Source organism: Homo sapiens, chromosome 1 (genome assembly GCF_000001405.40).
Source record: "Homo sapiens chromosome 1, GRCh38.p14 Primary Assembly".
Taxonomy (NCBI): Eukaryota; Metazoa; Chordata; class Mammalia; order Primates; family Hominidae; genus Homo; species Homo sapiens.
Window position 1 is genome coordinate 15,233,707 of NC_000001.11, and position 22,659 is coordinate 15,256,365.

The 22,659-nt window shown below is 45.4% G+C and overlaps 1 protein-coding gene across 39 annotated transcripts in view, besides 2 other annotated features; it reads left to right on the forward strand.

Moving 5' to 3' along the window:
• The first annotated feature begins 2,814 nt into the window (after positions 1 to 2,814).
• Positions 2,815 to 22,659, forward strand: part of FHAD1 (forkhead associated phosphopeptide binding domain 1) — a 166,490-nt gene continuing 146,645 nt past the window's right edge. For 32 of the 39 annotated variants that reach the window (XM_047443734.1, XM_017000198.3, XM_017000199.3 and 29 more), the window contains exons 1-2: positions 2,815 to 3,055; positions 18,065 to 18,171. In XM_047443734.1, coding sequence (XP_047299690.1) covers positions 3,019 to 3,055; positions 18,065 to 18,171 — 144 coding nt within the window. In that variant the 5' untranslated portion in view covers positions 2,815 to 3,018. Of the gene's footprint in view, positions 3,056 to 13,516; positions 13,690 to 18,064; positions 18,172 to 22,659 lie in introns of those variants that run through there. The other 7 variants (XM_011540577.3, XM_047443737.1, XM_024452898.2 and 4 more) reach the window with 2 other exon arrangements.
• Positions 13,352 to 13,525: a silencer, noted in NCBI's record as "fragment chr1:15573554-15573727 (GRCh37/hg19 assembly coordinates)". NCBI's record gives its function as "represses an EF-1alpha promoter that drives an FKBP-Casp9 reporter gene in an ReSE screen in HepG2 liver carcinoma cells {active_cell/tissue: HepG2}" and the evidence as "EXISTENCE:reporter gene assay evidence [ECO:0000049][PMID:32094911]".
• Positions 13,543 to 13,782: a silencer, noted in NCBI's record as "silent region_300". NCBI's record gives its function as "represses an Ori minimal core promoter by ATAC-STARR-seq in GM12878 lymphoblastoid cells {active_cell/tissue: GM12878}" and the evidence as "EXISTENCE:reporter gene assay evidence [ECO:0000049][PMID:35858748]".

Consider the following 22,659-nt stretch of genomic DNA (forward strand, 5'->3'; position numbering starts at 1 on the left):
ACCCTCTAGGAGTCCACAGGGTCTATTGTCCCTATATATTTATGTCTGTGTGTGCTCAATGGTTAGCTCCCACTTCTAAGTGAGAACATGCCATAGTTTTATTTTCCTGAGTTAATTTGCTTAGGATTATGGCCTCCAGCTCCATCCATGTTGCTGCAAAGGACACAATCTCATTCTTTTTTATGGCTGCATAATATTCCATAATGCATATGTACCACATTTTCCTTATCCAATCTACTGACCACTGATGGGCACCTGGGTTGATTCCATGTCTTTGCTATAGTGAACAGCACAGTAATGAACTGACAAATGCATGTGTCTTTTTGGTAGAATGATTTATTTTCTTTTGAGTATATACTCAGTAATGAGATTGCTGGAGGACACCCAATTTTTTTAAGTAAGTAGTCCCAAAGGAACATACACACACACACACCATAGGCAGAGCTAGCTATAACCAAAGTATAAGCGAATGAGGAAGCCAGGAATTCCTGAGGATAAATACCTCCATCAGTGTGGAGAGTTAACAGGTACAGGAAATAAGAAGTCAGACCTCAGGCCTTTGCAAACTGAGCTAGCAAAATCTACAATGTCCATATTAAGCCAGGACCTTGAAAGGTGCTCTACCTCCTGAGAAAGGGAAGGCTTTAAGTGTATTTTTCTGGACTGCCAGAAAAGGGAGCGCATGGGCTCTGCAGGGTTTCTGGAGGGGAAAATTAACAATGGCCACCATAATAATGACGATTGTTAACCCTGAGGATTCGTAACCACATGGTACTAGGAATTAGTTTAACACTCCGTGCATTCAAGGGGGAAACTCCAAGCTGAAGAAGTAAATGTAAGGGATCACAGGTTGGTAGCAGCCCTGGCATCCAAATGAAACAAACAAAAATCATTCCTAGAGGAACGCAGCCAGAAATCAGACTCCTCAGGACTCCCGCAGATCAATTTCAATCAACACTGAGATCACATTCAAATTATTAACCCTCCAAGAAACAAGTCAGTATGAGCAAGAGTGAGCAGAAAGAACAAACAGTAGATTGAGACACTTCCTCGCACCCCAAGGACATCAGGTGTTGGAATTCCCAGATACTGATTCTACTTTGTATTAAATAGTTTTTAAAAGAAGGATTTAAAAATGAGCAAGGAATGAGATGATCAAAAATGGCCAGGCTCATCATCTGTAATCATGAGAGAAATGCAAATCAAAACCACAACGAGATACCATCTCACAACAGTCAGAATGGCTATTACTAAGAAGTCAAAAAAACAAACAAACAAAAACCAGAAGCTGTAGAGGATGTTGAGAAAAGGGAATGCTTATACACAGTTGGTGGGAATGTAAATTAGTTCCACCACTGTGGAAAGCAGTTTGGAGATTTCTCGAAGAACTTAAAACAGAGTTACCATTTGACCCAGCAATCCCATTGCCAGGATATACCCAAAAAGAAAAAGACCATTTTACCAAAAAGACACATACGCTCCTACGTTCATCGCAGCACTATTCACAATAGCAAAGACATGGAATCAACTTAGGTGCCCATCAATGGTGGATTGGATAAGGAAAATGTGGCACATATACACTACAGAATACTACGTAGCCATAAGAAAGAATGAGATCATGTCCTTTACAGCAACATGGTTGCAGCTAGAGGCCATTATCCTAAGTAAATTAACAAAGGAACAGAAAACCAAATACCGCATATTCTCACTTAGAAGGGGGAGCTAAACATTGAGCCCACATGAGCATAAACATGGGAACACTCAACACTGCAGACTACTTGAGGGGAAAGGAGGTGGGGGAGTGGGTTGAAAAAGTACCTATTTGATACTATACTCACTACCTGGGTGCAATGTGCCCATGTAACAAACCTGCACATTTACCCTCTGTATCTAAAATAAAAGTTGAATTTTTTTTTTTTTTTTTTGAGGCAGAGTCTCACTCTGTCGCTCAGGCTAGAGTGCAGTGGTGTGATCTCAGCTCACTGGAACCTCTGCCTCCCGGGTTCAAGCGATTCTCATGCCTCGGCCTCCAGAGTAGCTGGGATTACAGGCACCCGCCACCACGCCCGATTAATTTCTTTATTTTTAGTAGAGACATTTCACCATGTTGGCCAGGCTGGATTTGAACTCCTGACCTCAAGTGAGCCGCCGGCCTCGGCTTCCCAAAGTGCTGGGATTACAGGCGTGAGCCACTATGCCCAGCTAAAAGTTGAATTTTTTTAACGGCCAGGCATTTGACCTCAGAACTTTGTGGGAACACAGGGAGAACTACTTGACCCCTGTACTTTTAGCACTTCCATTCTGGTAGGATAAACAGATCCACATAATCAAAATACATCAGGGGTAAAAACTCAAGCAGTTATAGAACAGAGAAGGAATAAGAATAAGCGCGGCGGACAAGGAGGACACAGGCTGTACCTGGAGGCGGCAGCCTCTCCACACGCCTCACAGATTGTTGCTCTGTGTGCAGGAACAGAGCCCAAGTATTGCCTGATGTTCCAATTTCCCCAGAAAAGACATAAATCCAAATTGTAAAGTAAGTCAACGTGATTTGTACGTTAGCCACTGCAGGAGACACCTGAAGCTTCTGCCACCCAATATCAATTCACCTTTCTTCTAAAATATTACGGTGTTATGTATGATTCCCCTTTGGGGACCACCCCCTTTCCTGTTCTCAGCCCAGTCTCAGTCTCTTCCTGGTTGAGTTGACTCCATCTCCGGCTGCAGGGATGGGCATGTGACTCAAGCTTGGCCAATCAGAGCACAGCAGTCCCCCGGACCACACTAATTGGCTTAGAAACGGGCCTGTGAGTCAATCAGAGAAAATGAGAAGCCATGAGGCCTTTGGGAGAATCTTAGGAAAAAATTCTCTCTCATCCCCTTGGGATTCAAAGCTGAGAAGATGTAAGGACTGGAGCTGCAGCAGTCTTTCTGGGACCATTATACAGAGATTCTGTCTGAGGTTGGATCCACGTGGTCAAAAGTATTGCTGAGGAGCCAGAGAGAGACTGAGGTCTGATGACATCACTTGAGCCCTGCAGACTTTTCATTTACGGTAACCAGTTAATTTGCTTTCATGCTGAAGCTAGTTTGAACTGGGCTCTGATATGGTTTGGCTGTGTCTGCAACCAAATCTCATCTTGAATTGTAGTTCCCATAATCCACACATGTCGTGGAAGGGACCCAGTGGGAGGTAATTGAGTCATGAGGGCGGTTACCCTCGTGCTGTTCTCTTGACAGTGAGTGAGTTCTTGGAGACGTGATGGTTTTATAAGGGGCTTTCCCCTTTTGCTTGGCACTGCTCCTTGCTGCCGCCATGTTAAGAGGGACGCGTTTGCTTCCCCTTCCACCATGATCGTAAGTTTCCTGAGGCCTCCCTTGCCCTGCAGAACTGTGAGTCAATTAAACCTCTTTCCTTCATAAATTACCCAGTCTCAGGCAGCTCTTTATAGCAGCATAAGCATGGACTAATACAGGCTCTTTATCACTCCACAGAAAGAGGCTGTATCCTCCATCAACTAGTTGAAAGTATTTTAACACACTGTGAAAGCCAAAGAAACATGGAGGCTGACTGTGGCCTTCAGTTTGCAGTCTCAGCACCTGGCCCTGCCTCCCTCTGTCCCACGGTTGCGTAGCCTCCCTCATTCCCCATCTTCCAGCTCTTGTTCCCACTGCTCCTTCCTCCTGCAATGCCTTTCTCTTCCTTCTCTCCCTCCTGAAATCCTACCCATCCTTCAAGACCCAGGTCAAGTGATTCCTTTTTCTCAAAGCCCTTCCTGACCCCACAAGCTCCACCCCACGTGGAAGCACGTCCCTCCCTCTCCAACCCCAGCCCCTCAGCCCCTGGTGAGCACTCGGCCCTTCTACTGAGAATCCTAGTGACCCAGGAACATTACTGTCCCCCTTGTTTCTTGACAACGATTCAAATTCAGAGCCAGATTAGAAGGGACAATCTTTGAGACTTAAGTTTCAAAAAACAATCAGTTCTTAGGAGAGGTCAGAAAACACGGTGAAAGGTGAGGATTTGGGTAAAGTATCAGAAAGAAAAGAACAGTTGTTCTCGAGAAAAGAGAGAGTCTGTGTTGAGTGCTGTAAGGAAGGCAGAAAAACTGGACATGTTTAGACCAAATAAAATGATTCAGAGGAAACCTGAGAAGAAATGTCCAGCGTGAGGGGATTGATCAGCTCAGAAAGGAAGATCAGCAGCGAGCGATGGGGATGACCTGAAACAAAAGCAAAATGCCTAAGATAGGAGCACTGTTGGCCAGGCGCGGTGGCTCATGCCTGTAATCCCAGCACTTTGGGAGGCTGACATGGGCAGATCACGACGTCAGGAGTCCGAGACCAGCCTGACCCCTGGTAAAACCCTGTCTCTACTAAAAATATAAAAATTAGACAGGCATGGTGGCGCACACCTGTAACCCCAGCTACTCAGGAGGCTGAGGCAGGAGAATTGCTTGAACCCGGGAGGCAGAAGTTATAGTGAGCCGAGACTGCACCACTGCACTCCAGCCTGGGCAATAGAGTGAGACTCCATCTCAAGGAAAAAAAAAAAAAAAAAAAGGAGCACTGTTGAAATGAGAAGAGAATGCAGATGGCAGTGAGATGCTACAAAACCTCCAGAAACCCAGAGAGGTGACAAGGGCTGAGGTCATCTCAAACTAGACCAACAGGGAGGCCTGCTGTTGATTGGAAGCAGCTTTCTCAAAAGGTAGGAATCATGTTGGCTTGCTGTTGATGGAAACTCAGGGCCACCAAGGCCTTCTGGAATTTGCTATTCAATAAACAGACACAAGGGAGGGCACAGGAGGCCAAGCAGTGGCTAGATGTGCCAAAAGAGCCACCATAAGTCAAAGGACAAAGTGAGCAGGGGTGTCAGCTTATAAGCCACCCCAGGCAGAGACTGTCTCTCTTCTCACTTCCTAAACCCTGCCAAGCACCACAGAGCCTTGTACACAGCCCCTGTGCCTCCTTCCCCAGGCCCAACTGTTTCTTTATAGGATAAATCAACTACCCCAGACCACGTCCAATCAAAGAGGCTCTTAACCTTTGCTGGGGAGAAGTCTGGTTAAGGCTCTGGGCCCTCTTTCCAGAAAAATACACATAGGCCCAGACACATCAAAGCTTCCTCCCAATTTCAGTGGTTCACACCTTCCCTGAGGCCACCAGTAGGTCTTCTTGGACAATAGTCCTAAACTCCTTCATTCATTTACTTTAAGAGACGGGGGTCTCACTAAGTCACCCAGGCAGGAGTGCAGTGGCATGATCATAGCTCACTGCAGCCTTGAACTCCTGGGCTGATGCAATCCTCCTGCCTCAGCCTCCAGAGTAGCTGAGACTACAAGTGTGTGCCACCATATCCAGCTAACTTTTTTATTTTTTGTAAAAGCAAGGTCTGTCTATGTTGCCTATGCTGGTTCAAACTCCTGGGCTGACATGATCCTCTCACCTCAGCCTCCCAAAGTGCTGGGATTACAGGCATGAGCTACCATGCTCAGCCCCTAAACTCATTCATTTATTTAAATCCTTATTGAATGTTGGCTGCATGTCAGGTACTGCTCTGAGCACCAGGGATGCTTGGGTGAACAAGAAAAGGATGGCCGGGTGCACTGGGCCATGCCTGTAATCCCAGCACTTTGAGAGGCCGAGGTGGGCGGATCACTTGAGGTCAGGAGTTTGAGACCAGCCTGGCCAACATGGTGAAACCCCGTCTCTACTAAAAATACAACAAATTAGCCAGATGTGGTGGTGCATGCCTGTGGTTCCAGCTACTTGGGAGGCTGAGGCAGGGGAATCGCTTGAACCTGGGAGGCGGAGGTCACAGTGAGCCGAGACTGTGCCACTGCACTTCAGCCTGAGTGACAGAGCGAGACTCTGTCTCAAAAGAAAAACAAAAAGAACAACAAAGAACCTTCACCACATGGAGTGTAGCTTCCAGGTTATATCCCAGCCATCCAACAATCAGAAAGTCTGGAGGTACAGCCCAGGAACAGTGATTCTGACATGGGGCCAGGTTTAGGACCTCCTGTTCCAAGGAACTCCTGGTCAAACTCCTTCTGTAAGTAGAGAGGGGAGAGTAATATTTGAAGGCATGTGCTGCGACTCAAGTATTCATGCACTGCTGGGGGGTGTAGATTGGTACCAGCGCTTTGGAAAAATGTTTGTCAGAATCTTTTAAAGCTGAACATCTGCTGAATCTGCAACTCAGCACCTCTATTCCTAGGTCTATATCTAATAGACATGTGCACATATGCATACCAACGGACATACACAGTGGCGCCCAATTACCTCTGGTGTTCACACCTCTGTGGTATCCTCTCCCTTGAGTCGGGGCAGGACCTGTAACTTATTTTAAGCTGTAGAATACAGCAAAGGTGATGGGATGTAATTTCTGTGATTATGTTACATAAGATTATAACTTCCATCTCTCTATTGAGAGTCTACTGGGGGTCCAGAGTCGCAGACTCTGTCTACTGACTCTTACTGACTTTGATGAGGCAAGCCAACTTCCAGAAAGGCCCACATGGCAAGAAACTGAGGGTGAGCTCAGCTAATACCCAGCAAGGAGCTGAGGCTCTCTTTCTGATACCCTCAAAAAAACGAATCTTACCAATAACAATGTGAGCTTGAAACTGGATCCAGCCAGGTGTAGTGGCTCATGCCTGTAATCTCAGCACTTTGGTAGTCCAAGGTGGGAGGATCGCTTGAGCCCGGGAGTTCAAGACAAGCCTGGGCAACATAGTGAGATCTCATCTCTATTAAAAATAAAAATTAAAAAAATAGGCTTAGTGGTACATGGCTGTGGTCCCAGCTACTCAGGAGGCTGAGGTGGGAGGGACACTTGAGCCTGGGAAATCAAGGCTGCAGTGAGTTACGATCACATCACTGCACTCCCAGCCTGGACAACAGGAGAGACCCTGTCTCAAAAAAAAAAAAAAAAAGAAAGAAAAAGAAAAAAGAAAGCAGATCGGGCCGGGCGTGGTGGCTCATGCCTGTAATCCCAGCACTTTGGGAGGCCGAGGAGGGTGGATCACAAGGTCAGGAGTTTGAGATCAGCCTGGCCAATATGGTGAAACCCCTTCTCCACTAAAAACACAAAAATTAGCCAGGGGTGGTGGCACTTGCCTGTAGTCCCAGCTACTCGGGAGGCTGAGGCAGAAGAATCGCTTGAACCTGGGAGGCAGAGGTTGCAGTGAGCCAAGATCATGCCACTGCACTCCAGCCAGGCTGACAGAGCGAGACTCTATCTCAAAAAAAAAAAAAAAAAAAAGAAAGAAAGAAAGAAAGCAGATGCAGATTTATCCCCAGTTGAGGCTCAGATGAGATCCCAGCTTGGCCAGCTCCTTGATTGCAGCCTGTGAGACCCTAAAGCACAGGACCGTGCTGAGCCCTGCCCAATTCCTGACCCACAGAATCTGTGAGATGATAAATGTGGGTTGTTTTGAGCTGCTAAGTTTGTGGTAGTTTGTTAAGCAGCAATTGATAACCAATACAATGGAATACGACAGAGCAATGAGAATGAATGAACCACAGCTACTTGAAGAGACATGCTTGACTTTGGGAGATGAAAAGACATCTCCCAAACATAACGTCAAGCGAAAGAAACCAGACAGAAGATGGAATTTGTAGGATCCCATTTACATAAAGTTCAAAAACAAACAGAACTGGCCAGGCGCAGTGGCTCACGCCTATAATCCCAGCACTGTGGGAGGTGAGGCGGGTGGATCACCTGAGGTCAGGAGTTCGACTTCCGGACCAACATTGTGAAACCCCACCTATATTAAAATACAAAAATTAGCTGGGCATGGTAGCAGGTGCCTGTAATCCCAGCTACTTGGGAGGCTGAGGTAGGAGAATCACTTGAACACGGGAGGCAGAGGTTGCAGTGAGATCATATCATGGCACTCTACCCTGGGTGATAAGAGCAAAAGTCTTGTCTCAAAAAAAACAAACAACAAAAAAACAAACAAACAAAAAAAACCCAGAACGAATCTATGACATTAGCAGTCAGGATAGGGGCTACCCCAGGGGGTGGGTCATGACTGGAAGGGGTCACAGGGAGACTTCTAGGAGTGCTGGTGATGTTTTGCTTCTTGATCTGGATTCTGGTTAGGTGGGTGAGTACACTTAGTAAAAATTCAAATGGTGTCTCAGCCCATTTGTAATGCTATAAAGTGCAATTATGACCTGAGACAAAATGTATATTTTCAATATGTATATTATCTTCGATAAAAAGTTTACAAAAAGGCCGGGTGCAGTGGCTCACGCCTCTAATCCCAGCACTCTGGGAAGCTGAGGCGGGTGGATCACGAGGTCAGGAGATCGAGACCAGCCTGGCCAACATGGTGAAACCCCGTCTCTACTAAAAATACAAAAAGTAGCCGGGCATGGTGGCGTGTGGCTGTAGTCCCAGCTACTCAGGCGGCTGAAGCAGGAGAATCGCTTGAACCCGGGAGGAGGAGGTTGCAGTGAGCCGAGATCGCACCACTGCACTCCAGCCTGGGCAACAGAGCAAGACTCCATCTAAAAAAAAAAAAAAAAAAAAAAGTTTACAAAAAGTACAGCACTTTGTAATCTGGCAGCCAGAGTTTGAATTCCAGAACCACCATGTGCAAGATTTGTAACTGGTTAAGTTACTTGACTTTTCTGTGCCTCAATTTCTCTTTCTGTATAATGAGTTGGGCTAAGAACTAAATAAAACTGTGCATGACATGGTGGTTGGTACCTTGTTAGCTTTAATAAATATGAGCTGAATTTGTTAACCACATTCATAAAGGTTCACTGTCACTCAAAAAAATATAGTGAAGGTTTGCCCACATGCCTGGAAGTAGAATTTATGGAGTTGTCCAGCAGGTGCCACCCCATAGAGACTGCTGGGTTCCCAAGAATCACCTCTAGTTGTGACTAGAGGAAGGAGCACATCCTATCTCTTATATCCATATCCACATATAGAAAGGTCTCAGAGCAGCCGGCCAGATAATATGAGACTAGTCATCCAGAGATCAGGTTTGTTCTGGAGTAGGACTGAGTCTTGATGCAAATCAAAGTTTCTCCAGAGTGTTTGTGACCTGGGTTGAGATTGGGGCTCTCTTCGCACAGCATCAGAGAAAAAGAAAACAGGCAATAATCGTAAACACTCATAGAGCCATTCAGTTGTACCAGCCACTGATCCATTGTTTCATACGTCTTAACCCATTTAATCCTTTCAATAAAATGGATTGTTGTATACCCATTTTACAGGTGAGGGAAGTGAGGCACAAACAAAATACAACAAAAACCAGGCCCAGGACAGGTGGGGCCAGCACACTTTGCAGTTTTTGAACGGATGGTACAGACAGACCCCCCCACAGCAAAGCGCAAGGAACCAAGGGGAACTGACTTTGAAAAATGATTTGCAAGATAACTGAATGCTCCAAACCAGCATGAAAGAGTCGACATGAGACGAAGCTCCATATTTTCTCATTTTCTGCCACGGGAAAAGGCAAGGATGGCTGCAGAAAGCCTCAGTTGCCAGTTATTCTCTCCATGGTTTGAAATTATTTTCATGAGTCTCTGTGTGTAGGTCTGTATATAAAAATCTGTACTTTCTAAGCTTATATGGTCAGGTTACTAATGGGCCGTGGAGTCTCTAGTGGGCCCTCTGCTCTCTGTCATCCGTCACCCTGCGCAACAGCTTGGCTATTTCCTGCACTCTTTACTCTCTTGTTCTTGCTCTTTCTCTGGCTCTCTTTCATGCCATAGAGGCTGAGGAAGCCTCCACACCTCTCCTGGCCGCGGCTGGGGCCTGAAGCCAGCATTCATTTCATGTTGGAATGCAAGGGCAGCAGGAGAAACATCACACAGTTCTCTGAGGATGGAGCACAGGGTTAGGCTCTCCCCAGGCAAGAACAGCCCAGAGAAGGTGGCTGGGAAGGAATGAGATTTTACGGGGGCAGAAGTTCTGCAGGAACGAAGCCTAGTGCCCAATGTCAGCAGGTAATGTGGGTGGCAGGCCTAAGCTGCCTCCTCTGGGCTTATGCCCCCTTCACTCCCTGCCCTGGGCACTGCCTGAACCTTTGGACAGACAAGAGTGCAGGCTGCTCAGAAGTGAGAGAAAGCAGTTGTGAGTAAGTGGCATCTTGTGATTGTGACAGCTGTCACCTGTAGTTCCCCAGGGGAAATACCTTCCTTGTCACATTCATCTCGATTCAAATCCTGCCAGATTTTCTAGCTGTGTGACTTTAGGCAGATTTCTCCCTGTCTCTGAGCCTTATTTCCTACAATATGGGCTTCGTCGTCACCAAGAGTTCAATAAAAGGTTAACTGTAGGCACTGCCAAGAAGCACAAGTAATCTAGAAACATCTATTTTTTTTTTTCAGGGACAGTATTTTTAATGCCGCATCACTGTTTAATTGCAATGTACAACTCTCTTACTCAGCCCAGGAAATTATATCATAAAACCCTAAGTTATTGGGTATTTGATTTTCTGTTTTTGAAATGAAAATGGATGATACGGAATTGGGTTTCAAGAACTTTGCACACCCTTGAGATAACAGTGGCATCCTGAGGGACAGAGGATCCAATTAAGATTTGGCAACTTCGGCTCCACTGATTCTGAGTGTCAGCTTTGCTCTCAGTTTAGGATTTTTTGTTTTTCATTGAGATATCAGCTAACAGCAACAGATGATCTCTCAAAGCCTGGTGAGGGGCATGGGCTGTTCCAGCTCATGGCCAGCCTGGGTTTCACTGGGGTCTGTCTGATAGCAAGTTTGTGTCCTGGGTTCATGTTAATGACAAGAGTTTGACCAAAGACAAGCATGGAGGGGTGGTGGTAGGGATGGAGGTGGTGTTCAGGCCTGGGCAGGGGACTAGAGAAGCCGACATCCTGGGGCGAGGACAGGTCAGCCCAGCAGTCCTCAGAGGACAGGAGGCCGGGCTTCAGAAGGGTGGCAGGGGCTTCCCCCTGCATATTTATTCATTCAGACATTGTTCTAGGGACTGGTGGCACAGCAGCAAACAAAACATGAAAAAAGAAATTCCTGCTTTCATGGAGTTTAGATTCTACCAGGGGTCAGGGAGGGAGACACAATAAATAACATAAATAAATAAAGAAATAGTATGTGAGTTGATGATAAGTGATGTATTAGTCCATTTGTGTTGCTATCAAGTAATACCTGAGGCTGTGTCATTTATCCAGAAAAGAGGTTTATTTGGCTCACAGTTCTGCAGGTTGTACAAGAAGCATGGTGCCAGCATCTGCCTCTGGTGAGGGTCTCAGGCTGCTTCCACTCCTGGCAGAAAGTAGCGCCTGCATGTGCAGAGATCACATGATGAGAGAGGAAGTGAGAGTGAGCGAGGGGGAGGTGCCAGGCTCTTTCTAACAATCAGCTCTTTAGGAAACTGATAGAGTGAGAACTCATGCACCCTACAGGAACAGCACCAAGCCATCCATGAGGGATTCGCCCGCATGATCCAAGCACCTCCCGCCAGGCCCCACCTCCAACACTGAGGAGCAAATTTCAACATGAGATTTGGAGGGGTCAAATATTCTAACTATAGCAAGTGGCAAAAAGAAGGGAAGAGGGATAGAGTGTTGAGGTTTTTATTTTGTTTGGATGTGCTTTTGTTGTTCTTATTTTTATTTGCTTTTGTTGTTCTTATTTTTATTTGCTTTTGCTGTTCTTATTGTTTTTATTTGCTCTTTTTTGTTGTTTATTAGATTTCATGGTGGTTGTTTCATTGTTTCAAAAAACCAATTTTAGAAAAGATGATATGTGAGTAAAAAGCTAAAGTAAAGAAGGCAAAGGAGACTCTTGAGGGGAAGTGCATTCCAGGCAGAGGAATGGGCAAGAGCAAAGGCTCTGAGGCAGAAACGTGTGGGAAGCTGAGCTTGACCCTCTCTGTTCCTGTGAAGCCATCACTTGGGTCCCAGCCCTTGTGGTCCCTCCTAACATTTTACGCCTAGAATCTTTCTGGTTGTAGGAAACTGATCCAGGCAGAACCTTCCAGACTGAGGGCCTGGAAGAGATTTGTAGGGACAGGCTCCGGGAGAGGTCTCTGCAGTTCAGCTGCATAAATCAGGGTTTTGTCAAGCTTGTTGCAAATGCACATTCCTGGATTATGTCCCAGGCCTGCTAAATCAGAATCTCTGGGGTCTGTGCCCAGAAGTCCGCATTTCTAAAAGCCTCCAGGCACGTTTGAGCATCTTCACTGTATATTCCACCACAAATCGATGTCCATGATTTCTCTCTCAGATCCTCTTCCTATTGACTAGGTGTATTAGTCTGTTCTCACACTGCTATAAAGTAATTCCTTGAGACTGAATAATTTACAAAGAAAAGAAGTTTAATTGACTCACAGTTCTGCACTGCTAGGGAGGCCTCAGGAAACTTACAGTTATGGCGGAAGGCCAAGGGGAAGCAAGGAAGCTAGCATGTTGTAACATGGTGTAGCAGGAGAGAGAGAGAGCAAAGGGGGAAGTGCCACACTTTTAAACCATCAGATCTCATGAGAACTCACTCGCTATCATGAGAAAAGCAAGCGGGAAGTCTGCCCCCATGATTCAATCACCTCCCACCAGGCCCCTCTTCCAACACGTGGGGAGTGCAATTCGAGATGAAATTTGGGTGGGGACACACAGCCAAACCGTATCACTAGGGTAGAATGTGCCATAGTTCATCTCTCTTAGAAAAACGTTTAGAGTTTTTCTTGAGGTGTCTGGTCAGCCATTTCCTGCCAGTGAAAGGAATCACTCTCCAGGTAGAGTCAGCAGGAGATAGGATTTCCTGCTGGAGATAGTGGCGGGAGATAGGATTTGCACATCTGCTCAACACACTCCATCCCGCGAGTCCTGTGCCGGCTGACAAGCGGTTTCTTAAGGACAGTAACTGTTCCAGGTGTATTCTGGGATCAGCGTGTGACACTCATAGGACTCAAAAGATGTTTGCAGAGATAGAGAAAGGGCAAAAGAATGAATAAATGTCACTCTTAACAGGGAGGAGCAGAGGCAGCAGGATTGTGAGTTTGGAAATATTTTTTCCCCAGCACATGGAAGAAATCCTCATTCTTTCAAAATTTTTCATTCCACCCCATCCCTTTCCCAATCCCCACCCCACTCCCAGAGATCCCCTCTTCTTACTCTTTCTATTTTCTGGCCTGTAACGGAAAGGACTAGAGATTTGGGTAGGGCAGGGGGCATACTAACCTCCAAGGGTCTCATGAGTTCAGCTCCATCAATCTCCTACCTCTCCCTATCGCCCCCGACCCTCCCTCAACGCATCCAGCTTACAGTGAGGGGTAATGGAAAGGATTCTTGAATCAAATCTCCTCCCTGCTCCTTCCTCGCTGTAAAACCTTGGGCCATTTCTGTGACCTCTGAGCCTCCGCTTTCCTATCTGTGAAATGGGGCAGGCTCGTGGGGCCTGGAGCATTCAGCAGGCGGTAACCCAGTGGGCGTTCCCTGCACGGTGCCACGCCCCCTCTGCCGCGCAGGCCACGCCCTCATCTATTAGGCTGGACCCCGCGGCGCCTGGCGGCGTTGCCATGGCAACGCGCGTACACAGGCCGGCCGGGCGGGCGGGGTGCCGGGTGCGAGCTGGAGACTCCGCGGGAGCGCGGCCGGGAGGCTTCGCCCCGGAGCTGGCCCGACGCCTCCCGAGCTGGCAGGGCTCTCGGCGGAGGTCGGAGCGTGGGCTTCCTCCTCCCGCCAGGTGAGTGCGGCGCGGGAAGGGGTGGCGGGCCGAGACCGGGGACCGGAAGGGGCGGCCCAGCGAGGACTAGCCCTGGCAGGAGGAGGGGTGGCTCCCCGGCCCCATCCTCCTGGATCCAGGCTCCGGTCCCCAGGAGCACCCCAGTAGCTACCCCAACACCAGCCCCTCCTTTCCAGATGCAGGCCCCACCCCGCCCGCGGAGGAAGCCCCCGGGAGCCTTAGACCCTCCTTGGCACCAGCCATGCCACTCTGGGAAGTCCTGGGGGTTACAGCTGGGATTAGGAGGGGCATCCCTGCTGCCCCTGACTTACGAACGACACCCACCCGGCGGTCAGAGAGACTCCCCCCTTGCCTAACCTCTCCCTTCCCAAATACAACACTGAGGAATTTCTAGGGCTCCCAGGCCACTTAAGATCTGGTAACCCCTCAACAGAAATTTTGCTTCTCTATCTCACTTGTGACCTATAAGCAGGGAGTGCAGATGCCTGAAGCTCTTTTGCTCTTTTGCATGGTCGGTGCCCTGTGTCTTAGAACTAATTTACAGAGTTTAACGCATCTAATCACTTTCTACAGTGTTTTCAGGTAGGAAAGTGACTGCACAGGGCAAGATTAAAGTGGGGAAATAGGGCCCAACCCATTCAGCTAAAGAAATAGACTTTTTTTTTTTTTTCCAGAATGTCATCTAGGATAAATACTGAAGGGGAAAATGAAAGGTAGTTACTGTCAGAGGTTCTTAGGCTACCCTGACTTACTTTTAAGCATTGTTTTGTACTTTCATTCATTCATGATTTACTGAGCACCACTATGTGTCAGGCATGGCAGCGCTGGGGGCCAGAGGGGAGTAATGAACAGACTGTGAGGAAATGCAAAGGGTCTGAGATTTTTACACTACTTGCAAGCTAAGTTAGCCTGCCACTGCTTAATGATGCTAGCAGAAGACCAGAGACTCCAGGACCAGAGACAAAGGATGTTATTACTCACAGCACAGCAGGCACTGTGAGCTCATGTTTGCGTTGGTTCCCCTTGCCCTGCAAGTACCCCGGGGTGATGCAGGACAGCTCAGGTGGATGCTGTGCACACTGCGAGTCTGTTTCCCAGCTAAGGAACCCCAAGCTCAGGAAACTCCAGTCTTTTAAAAGGGGCTGCTAGCCAGTGCCCAACCTTTGCCCTGGAAGGAGATGACCTTTTTTTTTTTTTTTTAATTGAGACAGAGTCTTGCTCTGTCTCCCAAGCTAGATAGAGTGCAGTGGCACAATCTCAGCTCACTGCAACCTCTGCTGCACGGTTTCAAGTGATTCTCCTGCCTCAGACTTCCGATTAGCTGGGACTACAGGTGCAAGCCACCATGCCCGGCTAATTTTTTTGTGTTTTTAGTAGAGACAGGGTTTCGCCATGTTGGCCAGGCTGGTCTCAAACTCCTGACCTCAGGTGATCCGTCCACCTGGGCCTCCCAAAGTGCTAGGATTACAGGCATGAGCCACCGTGCCCAGCCAGAGATGACATTTTTATCATAAATCTGCACTCTGCCCTGGATAGGGACACTATCCCTATCCTCTCAGGATATTTGCCCTACAGATGTCCTTGGAAGATTGTCTGGAACAAAATCTGTCAGTGTCTTTGCTCTGAAGATGGGTACAAACACAGGAAACCCATGGAGAATTGAGTTTAACAAAAACAACACAGTTTGGGCTCTCTTGGAACGTATCTCAGTGAAAGGGAAACAGTAAACAGCTAAGTAAAGAACAAGAAAATGACAGAGAATGATAAGCTCAAGGAAGGAGCCACAGCAGTGACACATGCTAGCTAGACAACAAAGTGACTGGTGACGCCTTTAGCTGGGGTGGTCAGGTAGCTACCGCAAGGCACCAGCTGTGGAAACATCGGGGGGAAGAGCTAAAAAAAAAAAAAAAGCCAGTCATTCAGATTTGGGGTTTTACTCTGGAGGCATTTCCTGTGGCTTTCCCACAAAAGAGACATTTCTCGAAAGTTGACTTTAGATTACTTTTACTTTAGTTTGGATGTGGTGCTTGATGATGTAGTCCTCTGCAATTGAAGATTAATAACTCAGGCAATTTGAGGGCAACAGGGCATGGTTCTTTTGGAAAAAGAAGTGTCTTTTTATCCCTATTAAAGACAGCAGACTTAAAAATAAAATTCTCATTATATGAAAGTATTAATATTTCTGAGGATTTCTCATAGGCTTCGGAATTTACAAACATAAACTATCTGGCTTGTTTTTATTTCTCTTACTCCCAAGGGTCTTTTCTTTTTTTGCAGAGGATAGAATTCTGGTGTTAAGGGCTATCTGTTATTTCATGTCCTAAGTGTCAACAAAACAGTGACAACCCCACTATCCCAAGTGACAACCTCTCCCTCCCCCCACTCAGTCACTCTCTCTGCTCCCCCATCCCATCCCCTCCCCACCCAGCAGTGATGGAGGTGTGAAAAGTTGAGCTGCCTGAGGATTATGTAGTGGTGACATGCAATGGCAATCTCCCTGCCCGAATGCTAGGGGACCTTAACCTCTCTGCATCTCAGTCTCCTTTTCTGTAAAGTAGGGACAATAATGACACCCACCTTGCAGGGTTTCTCTGAGGATGAAAAGAGTATATTCAAGGAAAAGTGCCTGGCACTTACTAAGGACTCCATAAATGATGATAGAGATGATGATGAAAAGCAGAGCCAGCCCCGAGAGTCCGTACCACCACAACTAGTTGATTTTTGTTTTTACCCATAGTCCAATAATTTGTCATTTCACTGACTTTTCAATTGAATGGAAAAGAGAGAGACTGTTGTTGTTCTTTGACAAGGAATTGAGGTGGAGGATATCACACTGCATCTTTAGACGTAATCTCAAATCGGATTCAAGCATCGAGATGAATTACTGTCAATATTTTAGAACTTTCTGAAGTCACTGAAGTGTTTGTCTTAAAAGATGTGTATAGAACTTATTTCGAAATGCACCACAATATAAAATGGATGGACACACGGATAGATGGAAAGATCTGTGATAAAGCAAATATGGCAAAATGCCGATGGTAGAATCTAGTGGTGGGTACATAGGAGCTCATTATCTGCTTCTTTCAGCCTCTCTGTATGTTTGACATTTTTATAGTAAAATGCTGGGGGGAATACTGTGCAGGGTCCTGATTACATGGCTGAGCTATAATCTTGATATTTTGCCTTTAGAAGTAATCTTTTTTCCCCTAACTAAATAAATGAAGAAATACAGCGATTTAAAAAGAAAAACATCATCTAATGCCTGCCTCTCCAATGATAACTCTTTAAGAAACTCCAAAAGCAGACATGGTGGTGTGCCTGTATTCCTAGCTACTCTGGAGGCTGAGGCAGGAGGATCAGTTGAGCCCAAGAGTTCAAGACTGCAGCGAGCTATGATTGTGCCACTGAACTCAGCCTGGGCAAAGAGCAAGACCTCATCTCTAAATATGAATGAATGAATAAAATAAGCTCTATAGAAGTTTAGGGTTCCTTGGATCAGAGTTTGAGAAGCCCAGGTTAACAACACTAATAAGAGTAGTACAAATGAGTGTTCAGTGTGTGCCAGGCACCATTCTAGATACCTCACGTATATTATTGCATTTAACCCATTTTAGGCTGGGTGTGGTGGCTCCTGTCTGTAATCCCAGCACTTTGGGAGGCCAAGGCAGGAGGATTACTTGAGCTCAAGAGTTTGAGACTAGCCTGGGCAACATGGCAATACCCCGTCTCTTTAGCCAGGTGTGGTGGTGCACACCTGTAATCCCAGCTACTGGGGAGGCTGAGGCAGGAGGATTGCTTGAGCCCAGGAGATCGAGACCTCAGTGAGCCAAGATTGCTCACTGCCCTGCAGCCTGGATGACAAAGTGAGACCCTGTCTCAAAAAAAAAAAACAAAAAAAACCACCCATTTTATAGATGAGGAAACTGAGTCACAGAGAGAGAATAAGTAACTCACCCAAGGTCACAGAGCTAGTAAAGGATGGGTTAGGAACACAGAACTTGAATACTTGGTAAGTCAGATCACTAAGCTTATACTAAGCTTGATGGGAGGTGGAGAGCAATCATCACTGGAACTCAGATTTGTTGTCAGGTTGTTTTAGCTTTTGTTTGTGTCCTGAGTTACTTAAGAAATGCCCTCTGTTTGATTATTAGAACCAGGCTTTTCTATGCTAGATATCATGGTTAGAAGAGATTGTCTTAAAAACCTGCAGAATTGTCCTTGTCGTCATTGTTGACTGATCTATCTAATCCCCCCTCTTCTGATTTCTCACTTTGGACATGACTCTGTGGTTATTTCATTCATTTTAAGTATGATGTTGTTGAATAATTAGAGAACTACATTTTCTAACAAAATTCTTTCTGAAAACCTTATGTAGGGAAAACAGAGAGGATGAAGGCCTATCTAAAGAGCGCAGAAGGCTTTTTTGTCCTAAATAAAAGTACCACAATTGGAAGGCATGAAAATTCAGACCTTGTTTTACAGGTAAGAAGTCTTCCCACCTGTTCCCGTCCCCTCCCTGACCCCTTCCTTCTCCCTCTCTAACAGTCCTTAGCGTTATGTGGACTCCAGTCTCTTGTACACCACAACCTGGGCAAGCAGCCATACCTTTCCTTGGTGTGCTACCAATAGCCAGTTGCCAAGGGTACCCCATTTCCCTGGCATAAGGAGTGAAGCTGAGTGCTGTACAGAGCATGATGCGCTCCCATCCTTTGCTGAACGCATCTGTCACTGTCCCACCCATTGCAGAGCAGATGAGCCCCAAAGTAGGGCTTATCCCGAGAGGGTTCTTGGCTTTGCACAGGAAAGAATTCAAGGGCAAGCCAGGAGTAGAAGGAAACAGCCTTATCGAAGCAGCAGTGTTACAGCTGTGTGGCTGCTCCTACAGAGCCCGGCCGCCCTGTAGACAGAGAGCAGCAGCTCAGGGCAGTTTTGCAGTCATATTTATACTCACTTTTAACTGCATGCAGATTAAGGGCTGGTTTATGCAGGGAAGGGATAATAACTTTGGGATCATTGGATGCTATGGAAAGGGGAGATAATGCCCAGGTGTTGCCATGGCAACAGTACGTTGACATAGCACACTGGTGGGCAGGTCTGATTGAAAGTTGCTTTCACCCTGTCCCTATTTTAGCTAGTCCTCAGTCTGGTCCGGTGTCTGAGCCCCACCTCTGGAGTCGAGTGCCACCTCCTACCTCACACCTGTGGTCATCTCCCCAGCAGCCTGATGTGTGGTTCAGAAGGTGGGCACAGAGCTGGTGCTTTGGCCTTTGCCTGCTCTGGGCTAGACCTCTCTTCCTTTCAAGACCCCATGGGACTGCCGTGGGCCCCTCAGAGGCCAGGGAGGCCACGGAGCTCCAAGCCCCGGGCTTAGCCTGGGCATTCTTTCATTCCATTCTCTGAATTAGCTGTGGTTTGGTCCAAAGCCTCAGCTCATTGACAACCAAAGAAGTTGAAAGAAGGAGAATAATAATAAAAACAGTGGATTTGAGCCTTTTTAAACATGGAAGGGGGTTAAAATATTGAAGTGGAAAGAGAAAAAATGCCGTGGAATCTCTTTATAACTGTGAGAAGCAGATCTCTTTCAGACCTCACTCAATAGACTTTTTTAACCCTTCATTTTGAAATTAGAGATTCACAGGAAGTTCCAAAAATAGTAGGTAGAGATCACACCTACCTTCCACCCAGTTTCCTCCAGTGGTTACTTACTATGTGTGACTATAACAATATCAAAACCAGGAAATTGACATAAGTGCTGTGTGTGTGTGTGTGTGTGTGTGTGTGTGTGTGTGTCAGAGAAAGAGAGAGAGAGGACAATGTGTGTAGTTCTGTATCATTTTATAGATCACATGTGTATTCATAGATTTGTGTGTAGCAATCAAAAAATTGTCTTACCTCTTCTGCTTCCTTTCCCTTCCCATATAAATTTTAGAATAAGTCTGTCTATATCTATGAAATGTCTTGCTGAGATTTTGATAGAAATTGTGTTTAAATCTATATGTCAATGTGGAAAGAATTTATATATTTACTATGTGGTTTTTCAATCCATGAAAATGGTATGTTTCTGCGTTGATTTAGATCTTCTTTGGTTTCTTTCATGAATACTTTGTAGCTTTCAGCATACAAATCCTGTGCATGTTTTGCTGGATTTATACTTAAGTACTTTATTTCTCCTTTTTTGTTTGTGATGGTAAATGGTATTATACTTTAAATTTCAGTGGCCACCTCTTCATTGCCAGTATATAGAAACATAATTGATTTTAGTATGCTTATATGGTATCTTGCAACCTTAACTGAACTTTCTAGAAGTTTTTTTGTCGCCTGCTTAGGATGTTACCATGTCATCTGCAAATTAAAAGTTTATTTTTACTTATTTGATCTGTACACTTTTAATTTTATTTTCTTGAGATGTTGCATTGGCTGGGACTTCCAGTAGTCTGTTGCAGAAGAGTGGTGAGAGCAGTATAAATCTTTATATTTGCCTTGTTCCTGGTTTTAAGGGAAAAGCATTCTGTCTTTCATCATTAAATATTATATTAACTGTAGGGTTTTTTTATAGATGTTCTTTATCAAATGGAGAACATTCCCCCTGCATTTCTAGTTTTCTAAGAGTTATAAACGCAATCGATTTTAAAATAACTCAACATACCTTCCTTTGAGATTCTCATCCGTGACATGGTCTCCCTACAAGGACACAGAAAACTGTTCAGTGTACAAAGTGGAAAAATCAAATAAAAAGAATCGTAGTTTCTTCTGTATCATAACAAGGGGTAGATTTAAGGTAGTTTTACTTTCTGGGTGGCCAAGGTAGAAACAGTGATCTCTGTTTTGAACTGGACTATGATATTAGAAAACTGTAGTAATTTTTAAAAGCACAGGCTTTGGAGATAGACCTGGATTTGAATCTCTTAGACCGTTTTCTGGCTGTGTGACTTCAAGCAAACTACTTAATCATACTGAGCTCATTTTCTCCATTTATAAACCACTTATTTCACAGGGCTGTAGGGATTAAATGAGAAAATGCATATAAAGTACCTGGCATATGGTACTAAGTAAATGACGCCACAATCGTTATTATGGTCACATAAAGTGGAGACTGAGAATTTTTGTTCACAGTAAGGTGGGTATCCACTGATACTAACAAGCTATTTGGAAACAGGAACTAATGAGGACAATTATTATATATATAGACAGAAATTGAGCAGCATTGATTGTATAAAAATAATTGACTGCTTACTGCTGCTTGGCCTTAGTTTAAAAAGTAAGTCACCACTGTCAGCAACAGTTCCATTGATTTATGAAGGAATCAGTTGCATTTCCAGAAGCATGAGCTTACACTGGCTCCCGAGAGAACAGATGATACATGAATTGCCAAATGCTTTGTGAATAGACTTTTAATGGGCTTTTATATCTTCTCTTAGACAAATCCTCTTCCGAAAGCTTAAATGGATTTGGGAGAGATTTGCTTTAAGAAGGGATGTGGGGGACACAGGTCTGTTTTGAAGAACTGAAAGCTACAGGCATGTCCATATTTTTCAGAAAATATTTTATAAGACAAGATAAGGTGAAAATTGCCCCTCTTTTGCCTTCACTGGGCCTTTCTGATTAACCTGAGAATCATGCTGGATCAGCTAGAAGCCACCCCGAGTAATAATTCAACAGTCAATTTATCATTTGTCTTATTTGTGCTGCTAGAAGTCATTCCACTAAATAAAGTTCAGGAATCTTAAAAAAGTCAGCTGTGAAATTACCCAGCATTTACACCTAGCAAAGAAAGAAGATTGTTTTATTTACTTGGATAAATCCTAAAGAGTAGGGAGCTATGCTTGTAAAGATTTATTAATATATTCATTTGCAAAGCTGCCTTTTTTGCTTATTGATATTATAATATTCTGACATCATTCACATATTCTGATAATGGAAGGTAATTATGGGCCTATTGTTTTTTAAAAAATTGGGAGAAAGCAAACTGTAAAGAAGAAAATAAAAATCACTTGTAATCATGTGACTCAGGGACAATCAATATTGGTATTTGTAGGGTTTTGCCCTCCAGACTTTTTTTTTCTGTATCATGAAAGGAGTTTGGTTTCCTAATGGCAATAGAAAGCCTGTTTTAGCCAGCCTGGTTTTTGCCGTTATTATCACTCATTCATTCCACAGACATTGGCCTGGAGCCCCAGCACGGAGACAAGCCTGGGGACACTCACACATGGTCCCTGCAATCAGGAAGCTGCTAGGAGACAGACATAGGTCAGAGGATCTGCAGAGCCTGGATGGTTTCAAGCCTACGTCAGGGCTCTAAAGGAAAGGAATATGGAGGATGAGAAGGACTTAACTAGACAAAGGGAGAAGGAACAGTGTGTGCAAAGGCCCTGGGGTAGAAGAGCATATGGAGAGCCTGATGGACTGAAAGAAAACCAGTGTGTAGAGGTCAGAGTGGGAAGGGGGAGAGCTAAGAGCCAGGCAGGACTCCTTCATGCCACCGTAAGGATTTTGATCTTGATCTGAAAAACAATGGGAAGATGCCACTGATGGATTTTCAGCAAGTGGAAGGCCTGCCTGTTGAAATGGGCTCCCTGGCTGCCTTGTGCAGAAACCAGGAGCTCCTTTCAGAATCTGCCCCTGCCCCCACCTGCATTGGACAGGGCTGGAATACCTCGGCCACCAGCCTCGCTCATTTCAGAGCTAAACCTTCTGGTTATAATCTGTATAATTTGATGTGGGTTTTGAACTGTAATGTTTATAGTTGGATGTGGCTGTTACTTGAACACTGATAAGAAAGGGACTTAATTCTTCCAGAACGCAGCAATGTCACAAGCCAATGGTTGCTGGGTTTTTCATGTGCATGAGTGTGATTGTTAAACATGAATCCCAAGGCTTTCTGACACAGTGGGGTTAGGTGAGGTCAGGAATCTGTCCATTTCTCTGCTCTGCAGGTTCAGGTGAGGGTCCCCACAGAGATGCTTCCAGGAC